Source organism: Homo sapiens, chromosome 4, assembly GCF_000001405.40.
Source record: "Homo sapiens chromosome 4, GRCh38.p14 Primary Assembly".
In the NCBI taxonomy this organism is placed as follows: domain Eukaryota; kingdom Metazoa; phylum Chordata; class Mammalia; order Primates; family Hominidae; genus Homo; species Homo sapiens.
The window spans coordinates 158,239,733-158,260,418 of record NC_000004.12 but is presented as its reverse complement, the minus strand read 5'-3'; the positions used below and the strand labels follow the sequence as shown (position 1 = coordinate 158,260,418).

The 20,686-nt window shown below is 35.6% G+C and overlaps 1 protein-coding gene across 3 annotated transcripts in view, besides 1 other annotated feature; it reads right to left on the bottom strand.

The window, feature by feature from the left end:
* Positions 1-5,002: 5,002 nt before the first annotated feature.
* Positions 5,003-20,686, bottom strand: part of TMEM144 (transmembrane protein 144) — a 44,931-nt gene continuing 29,247 nt past the window's right edge. For all 3 annotated transcript variants that reach the window (XM_005263110.3, NM_018342.5, XM_017008366.2), the window contains 4 exons: positions 20,001-20,120; positions 18,813-18,910; positions 16,070-16,123; positions 5,003-6,975 (listed from right to left, as the gene is read on the bottom strand). In XM_005263110.3, the coding sequence (XP_005263167.1) occupies positions 6,892-6,975; positions 16,070-16,123; positions 18,813-18,910; positions 20,001-20,120 (356 nt within the window). In that variant the 3' untranslated portion in view covers positions 5,003-6,891. The remainder of the gene's footprint in view (positions 6,976-16,069; positions 16,124-18,812; positions 18,911-20,000; positions 20,121-20,686) is intronic.
* Positions 15,053-15,554: an enhancer, noted in NCBI's record as "NANOG hESC enhancer chr4:159166017-159166518 (GRCh37/hg19 assembly coordinates)". NCBI's record gives its function as "activates a minimal SCP1, AML or CMV promoter by ChIP-STARR-seq in primed H9 embryonic stem cells {active_cell/tissue: H9 hESC(primed)}" and the evidence as "EXISTENCE:reporter gene assay evidence [ECO:0000049][PMID:30033119]".

Here is a 20,686-nt window from a genome sequence, read left to right as displayed (position 1 = left end):
CGATGACTGAAAAGCAGACATCACATTGACAATTAGACTGATAGCATGGGAAATAGAAGATAGGTTTCTTTTTTTATAGTTCAGCTTTTAAGAATCTATAAATGGCAAAATATGGTCATTTGAGAGCAGAGATACAGGAGAGAGAGAAGAAGGGAAGGAGGGAAGGAGAGGGAGAGACAGAGCCCAAACTTAAAAAAAGTTTACATTTTATAACATAGACCACCACAGACTATCATAATTAACCCTATACTTCCCTCTGGTGGTCAAATTTGAAAATGTATTTACAGATGAATTAAATGAAGATTAATATACAGTAATAACTAAAGGTAAGACAACCAGATACCTCATTTTGTGTGAAGATTCCATTTTAACCAACTACCTAACTCCAACATTTCCCCTAGTTATTAAAGTTGAATGACTCTTCTGTGGAGAGGTCCCAATTCGCATAAACTTTCCTAACATGTGGCAGGGACTATACATAGCAAGTTGTATTTCATGGTACTAATTATATACGTAGGATGTGGATATTCATTTATGCTATAATTTATGCAAAAATAATAGGAAAGAATATTTTCCTGGATTTCTTAAACTACTTAAATTTTAAGAAAGTAGTCTATGAATTATTTCATGATGTATTGTGTCATGCACTTTAAAATAAAAATTTTAGGAACACAGAGACATACATTATTAAGATTAAGATTCTAAAATCAGAATATCAGATTTTAGAATCTTAATCCAGCAACCAAACCTGGTGTTTTTGGGTGGTTACTGTTTGTGAATGTCAGATACATCTTACAGGTACTGATATTTTTTTTTTTCCTTAAGGGAGCAATGTATAATTCATTACAGCTTTAATAAATTTAATATTTTAAATTTCAAAATTACTTAGAATATTAATTTTTCTATTTAGAGAAAAACTAAAGCCTGCACCAACATGTTTTCCTTGGCTGCTTAGTTTTAATGTCATCCCTGATAATTTCATATGGGAGCCAATATAATTTATTTTTGTGAATGTACTCCTTGAGCCTCAAAGAAAAAAAACAAGAAAAAAAGAAAAACCTAAGTAATTTTATTTGGCTCCTTTTTTTATTCTAACTGTAAAATACTCTTTGAACCGAGGAAGATGTGACAGGAATTACAAGTTTTACCTTTGTTCTTTCTGACAACTAAAGAGTATTTAAAAGGGTTTCCCATTAAACTTTTTAAGTTTTATCCACTGTATTAATTGGATGTGAGCTATTATGAAAATGATTACAGAGTGAAAGTGTAAATTGTCTTGAATTTGAATGTCTTTTAATTAAGCAGTTTCTCAAACTGCTTCTTTCAGTGTGAAACCTAAATAGGAGACACAAGATAATTTTAGCACCAAATGAGGCCTTTAGGATTTAGCTTACTTGCATTCATTCAGTAAATATTCATTGTACTTATTTTGCAAAAATGTTGTATTGGCTACCTAAATCAGTGAAGGGAAACTACAAAGGTAAATCAGAAATGTACTGTGAGATCAAGAAGCCCGTAGCTCTGAGGAGAGACAAAAGTGTCTAAAATAATGAGAGTGTGAAGTGGAGAAATGGGCTAGTATTGTAGGAGACAGACAAGAGGAGGAGAAGCTTAATCAAGGAAATGACACCATAAGCTGAATGTAGGCTCCTTTTGAGGGGTAGCGTAGAGCCCTGTCTCTGTAGTTCTTTCTCTATCCTCCATGCCTCACACATGGTTGACATTTCATGAATATTAAATGATTAGAGTAGAAAATCCTGACTCAAAGTTCTGATTTTGTCACATACTTGCAGCATGGCTAAAAATAAGGCACTACAATTTACTGAGGCTCAGTTCCCTTACCTACAAAATAATATGGATTTTAAAATGAATATCAAATGCATTTACACATGTGAAATGCTTAACTTGAACATCTTTATAACACAGATGATACTGTTGAATTAAGGTAAATGGATGTGGATTTTACTAGTCCATATGTGAGTAGGGAACCCGCACAAAAAATGTGGACCTATTTTGAGAGTCACATGTTAAAATGAGACTTTTCCTATTTTATCAGTATTGGGGGCCTCAATTTAAAGCGTTGTAAGTGCCCACACTTAGGATTTCAAAAAAGAGAGTGCCAGGCCACCTTATCAGTTTGCAAAGGGGTGACTCTATTCAATGTTTGGTGGGTCCCGTCCCATTATGTACTTCAGGAGTGGGATACAAATATGTAAGGTGAACCTTGAAGCAACTTGGGATACTATTAAATTATACCACTAGAATGTCTCCATAGTGACAAAGTTTTATGTTTGCATAAATTTAGAATTCCTTTAGTTGAAAACAACCATTTTACAAATATGAGGAAGTTAAAATACCTCACAAAGTAATGTTACCTACCAGAGGCAAGGCCAGGAGGATCATCGAAGTTTTTTGGCTCTCAGATCAGTAATCTCATTACCATATCCAATGCATCTCTGTTTGCAAATTTGAAACCTTCTAAGACTCTAAGAGTGGGAATGATATGAGAAAACACCAGTTTGTTTCTTTGTATAAATCCAGAACAAAAGTTGTATTCCTTCTAATGTACCCAAAGAAGAGGAAAAAGAGGGGTAGCAATGAGATAAATAAGTGATATGTGGAGTTTGAAACTTTCTAAGTTTCTATAAGATGTAAAAATATTACATTTACATTGAAAATTATTATTAAAAAAGTCATGTAACTCTGTATTTCCATTGCTAATGTAACAAATTATCACAAATTTAGTGGCTTAAAACAATACAAATGTTGTTTCTTATAGTTCTGTAGGTTAGGAGCCTGACATGGGCTAACACCAAGGGACTGGCAAGGCTGTGCCTTTCTGGAGGCTGTAGGGGTGAATCTGTTTCCTTCTCTTTTCCAGCTTCTAGAAGCTGCCCACATTTCTTGGCCTGTGTTCCCTTCCCTCATCTTGAAAGTCAACAATGCATGGGTTTAGTCCTTCTCATAGGACATCACTCTGACCTCCATTTCCATCACCTTATCTCCTTCTCAACTCTGATTCTTCTCTTCCACTTTCAAGGACCCTTGAGATTACACTGTGACCACCTGGATAATCCAGGGTCTTCCAGTCTTAAGGTCCTTATTGACACATGCAAGTCCCTCTTGCCAAGTGAGGTGAACACTTCTTTTTGTGTATGTGATGAATAATATATATATATAATATATATAATACTACATAATATATACATAATACTATATATAATATATATAATACTATATATAATACTATATATAATACTATATATTATATATAATACTATATATAATATATAATACTATATATAATATATATAATACTATATATAATATATAATACTATATATAATATATATAATACTATATATAATATATAATACTATATATAATATATATAATACTATATATAATATATAATACTATATATAATATATATAATACTATATATAATATATAATACTATATATAATATATATAATACTATATATAATATATAATACTATATATAATATATATAATACTATAGATATATACACTAGTCTATTTTATCATTTACTACCGTAAAATATACATAAATCTATTATAAAATCTCCGTTGCTATTGTGGTGAGCTCTAGCGTTGCGACTATCCACTTAAAGCACCATGTGGTGCTAATCATCTCCAGGTGAGTCAACTGTCTCTCCAGTCAATTGCCTCTGGTGGTTATGATCTCTTGCAGTTCCTGTATATTTTTCATCATTTTTTATTGCAATAAAATTAAACCTTGTAAACCTTGGATAACACCATGGGACCCATATGGACCTCGACTAGTGATGCTGGAAGTGCTCCCAAGAAGCAGAGAAAAGTCATGACATTATTAGAAAAAGCTGAATTGCTTGATATGTACCACAGATTGAGGTCTGCAGATGCAGTTGCCCAACATTTCAGAAGATTCTTCTTGCAATCAGATGATGCAAACTTATGGTATCGGTAAATATAGTATAATACTGTAAATGTATTTTCTCTTCCCTATAATTTTCTTAACAATATTTTCTTTTCTCTAGATTACTGTAAAAATATAGTATATAATATATATAACATACAAAATATGTGTTAACTGTTTATGTTACAGGTAAGGTTTCTGGTCAACAGTAGACTATTAGTAGCTAAATTCCTTTTTTTTTTACATAAATACGTATTTATAGAAAGTATTTATTACTTTGGTTACTAAAAATTTACCTAAATGTTATGCTATGCACATGGTTCCACAACTTGCCTTTACGCAATGTGTTTTTTAGCTCTATCAATATTGAGACTTATAAGTCTAGTAGTTAGTAACTCTGAATATAAATAAATCAGTATGTCAGGAATAAAAGAAGATTTTGTAGTTCGGGGAGATGCTGTGCTATTAATCCTTTAAAATTTATTAGGATTTTCTGTTCCTATGGTAGAAAATTTCCATAATCTGATACAAGCCTTATTGGCTGCTACTTCTACTGAATGTAGTTCTGTCTCTGTACACAAGATGGCAGGATCTCTTTAGTACAGATGGGGTTGCCATTTGACAGAAAGCCAGGCCAGAAAAATGTAAAATAAACACTAGAATTTAGCCATACTAGATTAGGAGAAATAAAACCTAAAAGTCTCAAGAGAGTTAGGCATTCACTTCCTAAGGTGAGCAAACAAAATGCAGATTTGGCAACTGCCCATTTAGACTAGCCTCTAAATAATAAGTTGCTTTTTGGTAACCATTTTGAAAAAGCTTGTTTGGTACCAGAAACTATATACTATATAGAGGTCTGTGTGTGTGTGTATATATACACACACACACACACACACACACACACACACACACACACACATATATATAAATGTGTATATATATATACACACACATATATATAAATGTGTATATATATACACACATATATAAATGTGTATATATATACATATATAAATGTGTGTATATATATATACAAAGTATATATAGGGATATATATAAATTATATAGAGGTAATAAGACTGATTTTTCATTTTTCTTCTGAAACTGCTTTACTTCACATTTAAAATTTTGCATATAAATTGGAAATCCCAACTAAAGAATAATTAAAAGTTATCCAATATAAAATTCTAAAATATATTTAAATGAGAAAAATAGCTTTTGTATCACAATTTATTCAAAGTTTATCAGCATAATTTAATGACATTTCAGGTTAAAATTAAAATGAGTATAAGAAGTTATAGTCAAATATTTATTTGTATTAGCAATTCAATAAACAAACAGAAGCTCCATCACTTTTAAGTAGTATTCATTTAGAGGAGTAATAATTGTTTGGATGGGAAGGTGGTGAGCTTAGTAGCTCTTACATGGTGTTCTCCAATCTACAAAAACTTTTTTCCCCTTCAAACAACACATAATAATAAAGCTAACAATTATATAGTGTTTGCCAAGTACCAGATACTCATCAACATACTTTACAGATTTGAACTAATTTCAACCACACAATAACCATGTGAGGTAGATGCCATCATAAACTCCATTTTGTTAATGAGGGGCCTGACACAGAGGGCTTAGGAACTTGTCCAAAGCCACACAAATAAAATGAAGCAGAGGTGGGATTTAACCCATGCACATTGACTTCAGAGTATACACACAAATAAAAAGCTGTTTTGTTTCTCCTGCATAGCAAAGTAATAAACAGTACTATCAGGTGGGAATGGGTAAAATTTACATTTGAATAGGGGTTTCGTTATCTCAAAGTTTTGGAAACAATTGCAACAAACATTGTACTGGCAGTTCTGTTTCAGTTTTCTTTTTTCTTACAAATTTAAATTAAATTTCTTTTTTAGAGATGGGACCTTGCTATGTTGCCTAGGCTGGCAGATTTGCACTCTTGGGCTAAGTGACCCTCCTACTTCAGCCGCCCCAGCAGCTGGGATTATAGTAGTGCGCCACCCTGCCTGGCTTAATTTCAGTTTTCTTAAAAAAAAAAAAAAAAAAAAAAAACTAGCATGCCTGTCATTTTATTTTGCCTACTGGAAACCACCAGTTAAAACAAGAAGAAAACAGGAAACCTCCAGTTAAGAGGGTTTTAGAAAAGTGTATTTCAGAAAAAAAAGTTGTACATTCAAAAGAGTGGTTGTTTCCTTTAAATTGTTACTGATAACCTACAATCTCACTTTAGCAACATATCTGTGTGTATTTATGTACGTGAATATACTTGTGTATGTATGTATTATGTTATGCACATTTTCTCAATGATGAAAAATTTTTGTTCTCTGAGAATGGACTTTATCTGGCGATAATCAAAAGCATTATGAGCTAAAATGGGTAGATGATGTAGAGTTGGGCGATATTAACTTGAAATAAACAGAAGTTTTGGCTAACAATAATAAAATGGCCTTTTTAACATTTAGTTACCAACTATGCATTTACTTTATGAAACAAAGGATCCAAATATCTTTGGAATCTAATTCCATTAGAAGGTAAGGCTCTCCCTCCTCGCCCAAGGTATTTCTGCCTCACTTCACTGGGGTAATAGGTGAGAAATATGGACTGTAACTTCTTTGTATATGGACTCTATACTGTGTTCTAGATTATGCAACACTAGGTACATACTGTGGTAAAAAGAGCATCCTCGTATGTAATGCTATAATAATGTAGACATTTTAGTCACCCAGTAAAGTACTACCTTCATAAACAGTTCATCAGAAGAAATTTTCATTTTTATACTTGAATGAAACTCAATCTTCCTTCATTCTCACATTTTTGGGGAAAAAAATCATTTACCCACTCCAACAGTGGCTGAGATCCATTTGCTATATGAAAATGCACTCTTTTCTCAGCATGATCTCTCCGCTGTCCGATAGACGCGTTCTCTTAACTACTGCTGCCACCTGCTGGTTTTGTCATTGTTAGATTTTAGAAAAAGCAGTGCATAAGGCTCCAGTCAAGATGATGCAAAATGCAAGTATCATTAATAGGTAGTTTTGTAGACCCTGAATAAGAAAAAAGAATAACAGTGATGAATAAGGCCTGAATCAATTACACAAAATGGACAGACTCTCAAGATTGCTAGGGACCTAACCATCTGCTCTAGCCGCCTGTACCCTTTTTTGCTACCCCTTCCAAGTAATCAGGTTCTCACAAACCCCTGCAGAGCCTTATGAATTCACCCATTCCGTAAATAAATGTGGGCACCCACTAAGCTTCAACATGTACCTTTATGCAAACAATCATATAATATGGGAGACAGGAAGTAATCACAGAAAAGAATGTTATTATGTGAGAGGGGTGTTAATAATAAAGCAAACCACCATGGTTGTTTGAGAGTGTGTTACAGGAATCTTAATGATGCTGGTTTGGAGGGTGGGAAGTGGAGCTTCTAACTACAAGTATCAGTGAATTGGCCAGGGGACTAGGGCAGCAAGTAGAGATTCCAGGTAGAAGGAATTTTATGTGCACAGTCCTGTTGTAAGAAAAAGCAAAATATTTCCCAGGGACTGAAAGGAGGTTAGTGTGACTGAAGCAATCAAAGTTAAGTGGAGCAAGATGAGGTTGGAAGACCATGGACCTGAGCACTTGTTATGCTTTGGGTTCTATTTTTTTTTCTTTTTTTCTTTTTTTTTTTTTTTGAGACGGAGTCTCCCTCCGTCACCTAGGCTGGAGTTCAGTGGCGTGATCTTGGCTCACTGCAACCTCCGCCTCCTGGGTTCAGGTGATTCTCCTGTCTCAGCCTCCCAAGTAGCTGGGATTACAGGCATGCATCACCAAGCCCAGTGAATTTTTGTATTTTTAGTAGAGGCAGAGTTTTACCATGTTGGCCAGGCTGGTCTTGAACTCCTGACCTCAAGTGATCTGCCCACCTCTGCCTCTCAAATTTGGGTCCTGTTTTTCCAAGCAAAGAGGAAGACATTAAAAAGACAGGCAGCTGGCTGTGTTAAAATTTCAGACTTGCATTGTGTAAAGCTCACACTTTTCTGCAGGATGGCAGACAGATTGGAGGGGCCAGAATGGATGCAAGGAGACCAATTAGGAGGTGACTGTAGTCTCCCAGGGAAAAGATGATGATGGGTAGATGGAGAGATGGAGATGGATCTGAAGGGTGAGGAAGAAATGCAGAGAGGGTGTGAAGAATGACTTCGTTGGACTTGCTCAGTTATGTATGGGGTGCCTGGTCTTAAAGATGGGAACTACTGAGAACCACTTCTCTGTGTTGCCCAGCCCATCTTTGAATTAACAACGAAATATCTTCCTGTGTTAAGTAGAAATATTTCATTTCCTATAAGTTCCATCACTAGGAGTACAGATAGATCGATTTTAATATCTCTCCCACAAGATAAATCCTCAATCATTGAAAAATAACTCTCATATATCCCTGGAGGCATCTCTTTTCCTGGTCAGTATTTTAGCTCTTTGACCATTTTTCATATGGAATGGTTTCAAGCTTCCTTATTGTCCTGGCTGCTCCCCCTGAATGACTGCCATTTTGTCTATATCCTTCTTTATGTTTAAAGAGTCTAATTTATTTATTTTTTTAGTGAAAGTACAGAGACTTGTTGCAAAGTGAAAAGTACACACTCAAGAAAGTGGAGTGCGGACATACTCAAGAGAGAATCATACAAGGGGGTTGGGGTTCCTATTTTCATCATTTCTTTAGCCGAGGGGTGGAATATTCATGAAGATTCCTGGAAAAAGGTAACAATTTCTCAGAACTGTGGTGTCACTCATTTTTACACCAAATATGGGTGGTCCCAGAACTGTCATGGTGCTGGTGGGTGTGTGATTTGTATGTTAATGAGTGTATAATGAGGTCCTAGGTGAAACCTAGGGCAAATCCAGCACCATGTTGGGTTCAATTGGTCTTAGCCAGCTTGATCCACATGCTGTTTTTCAGGGTCTTATCAGCCCATGGCCTCTGCAGCTATTTCAAGTTTCCTTTTGCTAGTCATGTGAAACTGCTGCCTGGGATTTTCCTAATCTGTGACCACCCTGTATTATTCCTGTCTCATCCCCCCCACTTAAAGATTTCTATCCCTTATCCTTAAGGCTTGATGTGGGAGGAAGTCAGTCTTCTGTATCTACTTCCTGCTGATTAAGGGCATTGGCTCTGCCAATGAGGGCATGGCAATCTCTGGCTGCCTGGTCTAAGGGTCCCAAGGGTGGGTCATCAGGAGAGTCTGAATCCAAGGCGGAAGACTCCAGTATTCTAAGGGAAGGTTTGAACATTACAAAGTAAAACAAGACTAGCACCTCTCTAATTTTAGATACATCTAAGATTACAATCAGATAATAACACTATTTAATAATACTATTAGATCCTTCTTAAAAGGAAAAATAACAATGGTTCATGGGTAAGTCATTGTAGAAGACACATAAGGGTTCTGGAAAAAGAAAAAAGGAATGGAGAGGAAGCAACTCTAGGCAGCAGTTGGTATCCTGCCAGCTTCAAATCTGTAGGGAATAGGGCTGGTGTCCTCCCTCTCTGGTGAAAATTCTGGCCACTGAGGTCCAACAGGTTAATAGCCTCACACTACCCAAATTTGGGCAAAACTTCAGGAAAGGTAGTGGGAATAGAATGCTGTGTTTTTGGTGCAAGAGTTGACTGACTTGTTGGGGGGAGTGGGTTCATAAAAGCAGGACCCTGGGCTGTTAGAGGCTAATCCTCAGGGCTAATCTGATTCATGAGTATCTCCCCTAATGCTCACTCAAGGACTCAGTGAAGAACATGCACCAAACTTGGGTTCCTACAGCCAGGCCATGCAAAGTGTAGGCTTAGGGAGACTCATTTCCCCCAGCATAGATGCAAGGGGTCAGAGGGTAGAGGGTGGTTCTGTCTTTGCTGCCTTGCAGCCAGGTCAGCTTTGAGGGAAACCCAGAAAGGGAAGTTCTAACTGGGCTCCCACAGGAAACAGGGTTGGGGCAGGATAGACGGGTTGACAGTAGGAACACGTGGCTCTCCTGGCTCCACAGTGAAATTCTCACTTCAAAGAGTGGACTTTTGTCTGGTTTCATTTTGCCTACTTCCCTCACACTTCCTTAAAGGTCTTGTGTTTCTAGTTTACTGGAAGAATGCAGAGATCAGAGGTAAATTTGTGTAATAAATCTGAACAGAACAGAAACAAAGTCCAGGATGGAGGGAATGTGAAAACTGCCAAGGAAAGGTCTTTTGTATTATTAGTTCGTAAGATTAATGCTAACTAATATGTAACTATATATATATATATATATATATATATATATATATGTTATGTATTAATTAACAAAATCAAATAATTATGTTACTAACTAAATTATATATATATGTTCCCTTTCTTCAACTTAAAGAATCAGAGTAGATAAATTTGCCTCTGTTTGATGACCAGAGATAGGTCTTTGCAAGTTAGGTTGGGGCCAGTTGAATTGTCTGATTCAGTGTGATCCTTAGCACTAACAGAAGCCACTTTAATCCCAAATTCTACAAATAGAAGCACCCGAAAACCTTGCCAAGTGCAGAACAGCTTATTTAAACACACACACACACACACACACACACACACACACACACACACACACCTGGCAGTAGGCTTTGGATTTCCCAGCACCTTTTTTTTTCTTAATTTTTAAGACTGCAATTCTCACCTAGATACTGGTACTAATGCAGAATAGGTATTCCATAAACATTTGTTCAAACAACAAATACACTAAGGTGATTTCCACGTATATTTTGTGAATTTGAAATTGATGCAATTACTTAAATTAAAAAATGGGTCTTCAGTTACAAGCACTCTACAATCTAATTACGTGAATACATTGCTAAGCGCTATTTTATTACCTATGTAGACAGAAGAATAATGTTCTCAGGGAATGAAAAATTTTTTTCCCCTTCAATGTTAAGATTTTGCTAAAACTGTCCAGTCTCCTAGAGAAAAAGACTAATTATAGTTGGGCAACAGCAATGGTTTTCCTTCATCAAAGGTGGATGTTAACTCTTGGAAAGAGCACACTAACATTCTTCCCAAAGCAGAAAGTTTTTTAACTTGGATTTCTACTAAGATAATAGATCATCTCATTCTTCACCAGGGAGTAGCTTACTGACCTATACATTGTTGTGGTAGTAACTGCCTGTGTTGGCATTACTGTAGACATACTGACTAAAGTGTGTTGGTAAAAATATAATTTATATCTAGCTTAAAGATTTAATAATCTAAAATGAATTTCCCAATGAGTAACAGATATCAGATATAAAAGAATATCAGGGCCGGGCACGGTGGCTCACGCCTGTAATCCCAGCACTTTGGGAGGCCGAGGCGGGCAGATCACAAGATCAGGAGTTCGAGACAAGCCTGGCCAACACTGTGAAACCCCGTCTCTACTAAAAATACAAAAATTAGCTGGGCGTGGTGGCGGGCTTCTGTAATCCCAGCTACTCGGGAGGCTGAGGCAGGAGAATCGCTTGAACCCAGGAGGTGGAGTTTGCAGTGAGCCGAGATCGCATCACTCCACTCCACCGTGGGCAACAGAGCGAGACTCCATCTCAAAAAACAAACAAACAAAAAAGAGTATCAGAAGTATGAAAACATCCAACTGATGCACTGATGGCATTAAAACTAAATGGAATCATTAAAGTCCTTCACACAAAAGGTGCTTGGCTCTCAGCTTTATTCCTCGCAGCTGTAGGTTGTAGACTTTTAAATATGCGTCTTCAAGGACTGCTTTAAGATATATAACTGACAGTACCTATGAGTCCTGCAGATAACAGGTTTGCTTTTGTTTTCTTCTTTAGAGTTTAGGGGTTTTTGTCCTGTTTCTACAAAAATACTTTAAAAATTATTCTTATGATATTTAGGCTTTAGTGTTCAGTTGATGATGCTTTTCTAAACTGATTGGCATGTAAGTATTTAAAATTTTTCTTTAAATCAGCTGTCAAGAGGCAATTAGGTGTCTGCATTGAATAAGTACCATTGGACATCTGTTAAATTTTGCTTGTAGATGACATATAAGATTTTTTGTTTATTTATTTATGTGGTTAGTTATTTTGAGACAGAGTCTAGCTCTGTCACCCAGGCCAGAGTGCAATCTTGGCTCACTGCAATCTCCACTTTCCAGGTTCAAGCCATCTTCCCATCTCAGCCTCCCAAACAGCTGGGACTAGAGGCATGCACCACCACAGCAGGTTAATTTTTGTATTTTTGTAGAGACAGGGTTTTGCCATGTCACCCTGGCTGGTCTTGAACTCCTGAGCTCAAGTGATCTGGCCACCTTGGCTTGCCAAAGTGCTGGGACTACAGGCATAAGCCACCATGCCTGGCCCCAGGTTTTTTTTTTTTTTTTTTTTTTAATTCTTTGCTTTCAGCTTGGCCCTCTCTCTTCTTTTAATACTTGTAATCTTATCTTAGTCATTTTTTTAAAACAGAAAAGAGCAAACAGTCATTTTCTTAAGTTTAGAAATCCTTATTTTATAAGAAAACTGGCCTAGCTAATCTAAATTGCACATTTCAGAAATATGGTATATGTGCTGTCATGCTTTTTTTTTTTTTTGCCTATTTTTACATAAATAATTAGCCAAACTTTAGGACCTACTCTAAAAATTCTAGAAAGAGCTTCACTGGGATTTTACAGGAATTATACTGAACGTAATTAGAGAGAACTACCTAATTATAACAGCGAGATGTTCCATCAGAAATGTGACAAGTCTCCTATATTTGTTCTGATCTTCTATGTCCTCTAGTACATGTTTGTAGCAAAGTAAAATACAGTATTTTAAAAACCTGGCACATTACTTGTTAATTCTTTAATTAGATTTTATGTAATTTTTGTGGTTATTATTAATAGCATTTATTTTCCTCGTTTTAACTGGTTGTTGGTGATACATTGGAAGGCAACTGATTTCATATTTATTTTATATCTCAAGCCTTACTAAATGATCTTATTGGATGTTAAATTTTTCAGCTGATTCTTTTAAATTTTTATTTTAATTTTTAATTTTTGTCACCAATAAATTGAAATCACAATGTGTACATTTTTTAAAAATGTAATCTGCAAATTATAATTTTCTTATTTCTTTTCCTATATTTATTCATTTCATTTCTTATTCTGGTGTTTCCAAACTAGCTAGATCTATAGGAAATATCGTATAATAGTATGGAGAAATCCTTGACTTCCAATATATGGAGAACTCTTATGTTTCATGAAACTCAGGTATATAATTGCTATTTTGTTTTGATAGACATACTGTACCACTAAAGCTTCCTTTTATTTCTAGCTTATTAAGAGGTTAGTATAGTATTATCACGTCCTTTTCATATTTGATATGGTAGAGTAAATGATATTAATTAATTTATGTATTATGAACGATCCTTGCATTCCTGAATTAAACCCTATTGGGTCATAGTATATTAATCTTAAAAGTTACTTTTCTATTCAGTCTGATGTGTCTTTTTAAAGATGTCTTTACCAAAAACAAAACAAAACATTCCTCACTGTTTTTCAATTAATACTAGGCTTTTTGGTTAGGGATTCTCTTTGAATAGGGTTCTTATATGTAGTTAAGAGGATTTTCAATTCAGTATTATTATTGTAGTCATGACCAAAATAATTTTCAAATGCTTTAATATAAATCTATACTTGGTTTGTACTTCTTCATACCTATAATTACTAATAAACTATGATGACTAATTTGTAATTTTCTAAGGCTTCAGCATCTTACATGAGATAATAACCAATTCTTTAATATAAATAAATCTTTTTTTGTGAGGTAGATGAAATATATGCAGAGAGATTTACAACATATTTTGGGCATAGAGTTACTTTTTGTAGAAAGGAACTCTGACTACAATAAATGAGAAATGTTCACGAAAGTAACTTAGAGGTTTATAAATGTTTCAAGTTGTTCTTGTGTATTTAAAAAAAATAAAAATTCTGATCATAGTCCACATATTTTTGAAACAAGTTTATTATTTTTTAAATCTGAGAATGTTACTTGTATTATCAAATAATGGATTTTAAATCAAAATATTTCATTTACAATGATTGAAATGATGTTTTAAATCTAAAATTGAATAATCATTTTAAAGATCAGGTAGAAGTACATTCACTTTATGGTTGTTAGAGATTAGCAACATCAATCTCCTTAGAACCAGGAATTATTTGCTACTACAACTGCATATTAAGACAGGTCTATGATGACTTGATTGGGGAGGGGTCTTTGGATCAACATTGTCTTTAATAAAAATTCTTATAAAAGAGTATTTGCATATATTCCTCAACTGAAGACTTTTTCTACAAGTAAAGGTAACTGGGAAAAGTTCCAAAGCAATTTTTTAAAAAAAGATTAAACATTTTAAAATCTTTAAATTGTTAGGGAGACAGGGTCTTACTATGTTGCCCAGGCTAGACTTGAACTCCTAGGCTCAAGTGATCCTCCTGCATAGTTGGACTACAGGTAGATGCCACCATGCCTGGCTAGAAGGGGAGAAGTTCTCTGATTTTGTGAGTTTTCTTATTCTTTCTTTTTTTTTCTTTTTCTTTTTTGAGGAGACAGGGTTTCACTCAGCTGTCCAGATTGGAGTGTAGTGGTATGATCATGGCTTGCTGCAGCCTTGACCTCCTGAACCCAAGGAATCCTCCCTCCTTAGCCTTCTGAGTGGCTGTGACTACAAGTGTTCCTCACCACACCTGGCTAATTTTTAAATTGTTTTTGTAGAGATAGCGGTTTTGCTATGTTGCCTAGGCTGGTCTCAAACTCCTGGGCTCAAGCAATCCTCCCGCAAGTGCTGGGATTACAGGTGTGAGCCACTGCTCCTAACTTGTTTTATTTTGCTATCGACAGTTTGGGCTAGGTTATATGACCCTCACCCCCAAAATTAACTGAGCATTTATTGTGTTCTTGGTAGTGTTTTTAGCACTTTACTCATATTCTCTCAGCTCTCTTGGTTGGTTATCCCCATTTTCAGATAAGGACTATACACACAGAGAGGTTAAGAAACTTGGCCAAGGTCACACAGCTAGTATGTGACAGAGCCAGGATTTGAACCCAGTTGGACTCTTGAGACTGTACCTTTTGTTGTCGTTGTGATTGCCCAGGCTGACATCAAACTCCTGGGCTCAAGTGATGCTGCTGCCTCAGCCTCCTGAGTAGCTGGGAATATAGATGCATGCCACCATGCTCGGCAAAGTGATTTTTAAAGAAAACATACATACACACACACACACACACACACACACACACACACACACACACACACACACTCTTACTAGAACTATTTGATGAATGCAATTTTAAATTCCCATCATTTACATTTGAAAAGGAAATGGCAATAGCCTCCTGTTACCATGCTGTTTTCCTACAAAATTGCTGGTTTGACATGGAGGTCTTTGGGAGACATAGGAACCAATATAAACATCTATTCCCAAAGATGATTTACCTCAGGGGATACTTTAACCTTTAGGATAAAAAAAAAATCTTTCATCTTGTTTATCATATTTTAAACAAATTTCCCTCTCTCATATTTCACTGGGTTATTTAAAATCACTTCAGGGAAATTTAAGTCAACGACAGCATTTTTCCATTGGAGATGGGGTGGAGAGAGACATGATGTTACATTATAATTATCATAGCTCTAGTATTTTCTTTCCTAATTAGGTATTATCACATTCTGAACATTTTATCTGTCAAATCCATTCATGAGTTGTTGGCCCTGGACCTAGGCACCACAGGCAGTTTTCAGATAATAACACAAACATATTAAATACTTTACTCACCTGAATGCATTCCCATTTTCTTTTCTTTTTTGAGATGGAGTCTCGCTCTTTTGCCCAGACTGGAGGGCAGTGGCGTGATCTTGACTCACTGCAACCTCCGCCTCCCGGGTTCAAGCAATTCTCTGCCTCAGCCTCCCAAGTAGCTGGGATTACAGGTGCACACCACCACACCCAGCTAATTTTTTGTATTTTTAGTAGAGACGGGGTTTCACCATCTCGGCCAGGCTGGTCTTGAACTCCTAACCTCACGATCCACCTGCCTCGGCCTCCCAAAGTGCCAGGACAAGCGTGAGCCACCACGCCCGGCCTACCCCATTCCCATTTTCTAAGTCTGCCCTTTCTTGTACATACCTTTATTTCCTTAAACATGAAGATACCCCACATTGCAGCTATAAATCCTGGACCCTTAAATAAAAATATAAATTTTAATTAAATTGGATATTTACCTATGACTAGATTCTATATAAATATAGTAAGTTAGAGACAGTATAAACATATTTTCAGGGAAAACTACCCATAATATCAACCCTAACTCCACACTAAGCTAAACTTTAGGTGATATTAAGTAAAAAAAATGAAGACTTTTTTTCATTTTCTTTTCTTCATGGTCTTCATTTTGATTATTTTGATGATGCTATAATATTTTGTGCCACATAATACTTTAATATATCTGACATAAATTATTTTTATAAGCACATAGCTTATTTTTTCCATTGGCCTAGTTCCTTAGGATACTAGAAATGGGATTAATAAGAAAAAGTGTGCACAAGCTTCTAACTTTCTTTGGCATGAGATAATCTTGTAACTGAAGAAATTTTGGCATATTCTTTTTGGCCTAACAAATAATGTACTTGTGGAAGTAGCTCGTGCTTTAAAAATTTTTTTAACTGATATTACTACAGAGCAATCAAGTCTGGCTAACATTAAACACCAATGAATGCTAAAAAAAGGTTTATGGGAAGATTAAAATAAACGTGTAAGGAAAAACAATAGGGGTTTCTGGGCAGGAGACAAAGAAAAGAATGAAATAATACAGGACAGAGGAAATGAGAAGAAACAGGTGAAAAAAAGGAATGGTTCTGCAATTTATAAACTTTAAGCTATTCAAGTTTGGTGGTAATTCTTCTTAGCTGAGAAGGAAGAAAATTGGAATGCGGGCTAGGTGTGGTCTTTGTGGAGAAGGTGTATTGTATCAGCATTTTTATGATTGCTCTTCAAACTCCGAGAAACTCTGGAAGAGTTTCAAATAGATTCCAAAATGTTTTTCCCCTACCACTACTCCAACTGACAAAAGGACTGAGTCAATGAAGTTTGATTCCACTCTTGGTATGTAAGTGAAACAAAAAAAATACACTCCTCTCTGTTTATCAGTATCTGGAAAGTCAACATCAAAAGAGCCAGAGAAATAGGTCAAAGGAACTGCCTTTTATCAATGATGTAAGTTCCTAAGCCTCAAAATCCAAATCAAACAAGAAGCATATGGGTCTTTTAGGCAACCCACACTGACTTTCAACAGAATGAGAGGAAACAATAGAACAGAGGATACCATATTAATGTTATGCTAATCACTCAAGAATTTTTAATCTGAAAATCCATTTCCCTTCAGAGAACATGGTACAGGACAATACCACAAGGTATCATTGACCTTTGAAGATTCTTGTCTGATTGTTTTCTAAATATGAGTTTAAGCATGGCCTAAGAGTTATCGTGAGTAGTGTGGTTACAGGAAGGGTGCTTTGGTAAAAGTAATGCAAGCATAGGTCAAAGTATGTACTGACTCTTTGATTCAGGCCAAGGAGAGCCAAATAGGAAGGACATCTTCATAGGAGATACAACAGTTTTGGTAATTTGGATTGTATATTTTCCTTTTGTAAACTAATGTAAGTTAGGTGTAAATCAGCCTTTGAAAACAAAGTGAACTCGCTCCTATCTTAAGATTAAGCTGATTCAGTTTAGAATTATCAAGGAAGACATGGAGCAGAGGTAACAGCCCCTGCTAGGTGACTTTTTTCTTTCTTTCTTTCTTTTTTTTTAGCTTTTTAATGGAATGTTATTTGCTAATAAACAAAGTGGATACTACTTTCAAGGAACTCAGTCTAGTTACCACTGGATATATAACTATGGGAATATGTATACCTGAGAAGAACAGCACTGCTGGGATATTTAAAATGTATTCTGATAAAATTGATTGACCATATTCATAATTGTTGAAACTAGGTGATAGGTTCGTTTGACATTTTAAGTTTAAAAAAGTTTTAAAAATCTAGCCCTACCAAAAAAATAAAATAATGAAGAATGTAAGATTGTTGAGGGTAGGGACTAACTCTTCTGTGTGTAGATAAGGTTGTCCTTGGATAAAGTGACTAAAATAAAACCAAGCAAGGGCCTGGTAGCAATAGGGACCTACTCCCTCACCAATTCCAAATACCTGTCCTTCCCAGATAACAAGCACCAAGCGCACAAGGTAAGAAAGTTATGCCTGGTGAGTGAGAAGGCTTTGCTTCCATTACAGTTTTTCAAGAATAATCTCTGTGATGGGCAGGTTGCCAAAAGCCACAGTGACCACTTTCACTGATCCTCTGCCCACACTCACCTACTTCAGTGGTTTATTTCCTTTGAATTAGGCTTTCATTTTGTCCTCAGTCTTTATTCTAACTCAAAACAAGAAACAATGGTAGAAAAACCAACTCTCTGTCTACTATAAAAGTTTTGTGAAGGATATTGTTTGTTTGTTTTTCAATGTTCCCTTTAAGAGGTCCCATATTTATAAACTTTTATATAAGGAGAGAATAATAGTTATCAATAGCAAATTACAATGTCGCTAAAATTACATTAGATAAACCAATCAAACCAAAAACTGCAAGGATATTAAAGATTAAGGAGTAACAGCCCTGCTAAAATGAGGTGAGAAATGTTCCTTAGCAATCAAGCACATGAAGATTCAAGAGGGTCAGTTTATCTATCTGAATCCATTAATTGTATTCCTAAAAAATCAAACTCCATGACAGTCTTTAGCGATGCCCTAAGAGTGCTTCAGAAAAATTGGGTTTACATTTATAAAATGAAAATTAGGAAAACCAGTTCAGCTACTTACAGCAGTGATTATTGGAAAACTGACCACAGCACTCAGAGAGTGATTTGCTATGAACCAACAGCAGGTAGCTATAGCCCAAAGTACTCCTGACAGGAATCCTGAAATACAAAGACAACACACATTTGCAGACCATGTTCCCCTCCTGAAGAACTCACACTGAGCTACAACAGGAATATCAAAGTGCACATATAAATGCATTCTAATCAATGTTGTTGGCCAACATGGAATTTTGAGCTGTGTTTTATTGTTATTTTAGAGCAAGTAATTTCTCTACTCTTGCCTGCTATGGGTAGAGTGATCAATGCTTTCACATTATCAGCATTAAAGTACCCATAGTAGTAAAAGAGGTAGAGACTGGGTGATGAAAAGGGGACTAGGGGACATACTGAACCCGAACATTATCTGCAAATACCATTTACCGTAAACCATAGATATTAATAAAGTGGATCAGAGTGATGCTACGGCTAAGAAAAAAAAAAAACCTGTAGTATTTAAGTAAAACTACCAGCTAAAACTTTCACAGCACTTTAGCTAGGCATTCAGTATTCTAGCATTTTCTACACGGTGGCATTCTTTAGCATAAATCTGTTAGGCATTCAGAACAAGTCTCTGACTTATGCTTTATTTTTGCCTTTAAAAAATTTTACTTGTGGACCTACATTCCAAATTGAATCATAATAAACTCCTAAATGAGATTTTTAAAAAAGATCAATGCCTAATGAATTAAATCCAAAAGCATGTATGTTTAACATATGTCTTTTTTGAAGTCATCACGATCTCTTCTTACATTTTGTAGAAACTGTTTTCCCAAGTTACTGCATATTCCTATTTGTTGATATATGAACCTTTAGATAGTGAAAAAGAAATAGTAAAGAATGATGATCAATACAGAAGATGTTTGGCACAGGAAAATATCTTATTAGTAGATTTATTGTTTAAGTTTTAGGTTCTGTAATAATGGCCAACATTGCATATTCAGTTTCAAGGATTTAAAATACTTCATATTTGGTGGTGAACTGGGCAAAAGTAATTAGGGGGAATGAACATGCACACACACACACACACAACACACACACACCACATATACACACAGAGGATGGCTTTGTTTCCAGAAGAAACTTATTCAAGTTAAATGAGTTGTAGATGACACTTTCATATAGTAAGAAGATCTGTAGTACATATTCTTACCTGGTAGGACTGCTTCAGGATATAGTTTAGGACTATTTTTCATGGCTATGCAGTAGGCCAGAAAGTAGACAGTACTTGTAAGAAAGATGCCACTGAAGTGCGCAAACACATAGTCTAAATCTGAAAATAGACATTAAAAACTCTCAAACACCATTTTAATCATTCCAGATATATTTAGATTTCTGAAAATAAACTCACCAGAATTAACCTTAAAGGCAAATAAACCATTAATTAGGCAGAGCGCAGTGGCTCACACCTGTAATCCTAGCACTTTGGGAGGCCGAGCCGGGTGGATCACGAGGTCAGGAGATCGAGACTGTCCTGGCTAATGCAGTGAAACCCTGCCTTTACTAAAAATACAAAAAATTAGCCAGGTGTGGTGGCAGGTGCCTGCAGTCCCAGCTACCTGGGAGGCTGAGGCAGGAGAATGGTGTGAACCTGGGAGGCGGAGCTTGAAGTGAGCAGAGATCATGCCACTGCACTCCAGCCTGGGCAACAGAGTGAGACTCTGTCTCAAAAAAAAAAAAAAACCCCATTAATTATATTTAATCATCCTAGTTTTCTACATGCTGTTCATATAGAATTTTAATTAATATATTTAAAATCTAGATACATTAAGTAGTAAATTAGTTACTATAATCAAAACTAAAGGCTAGTTTTTATGATCATCTGGTAAAGCTAAATAA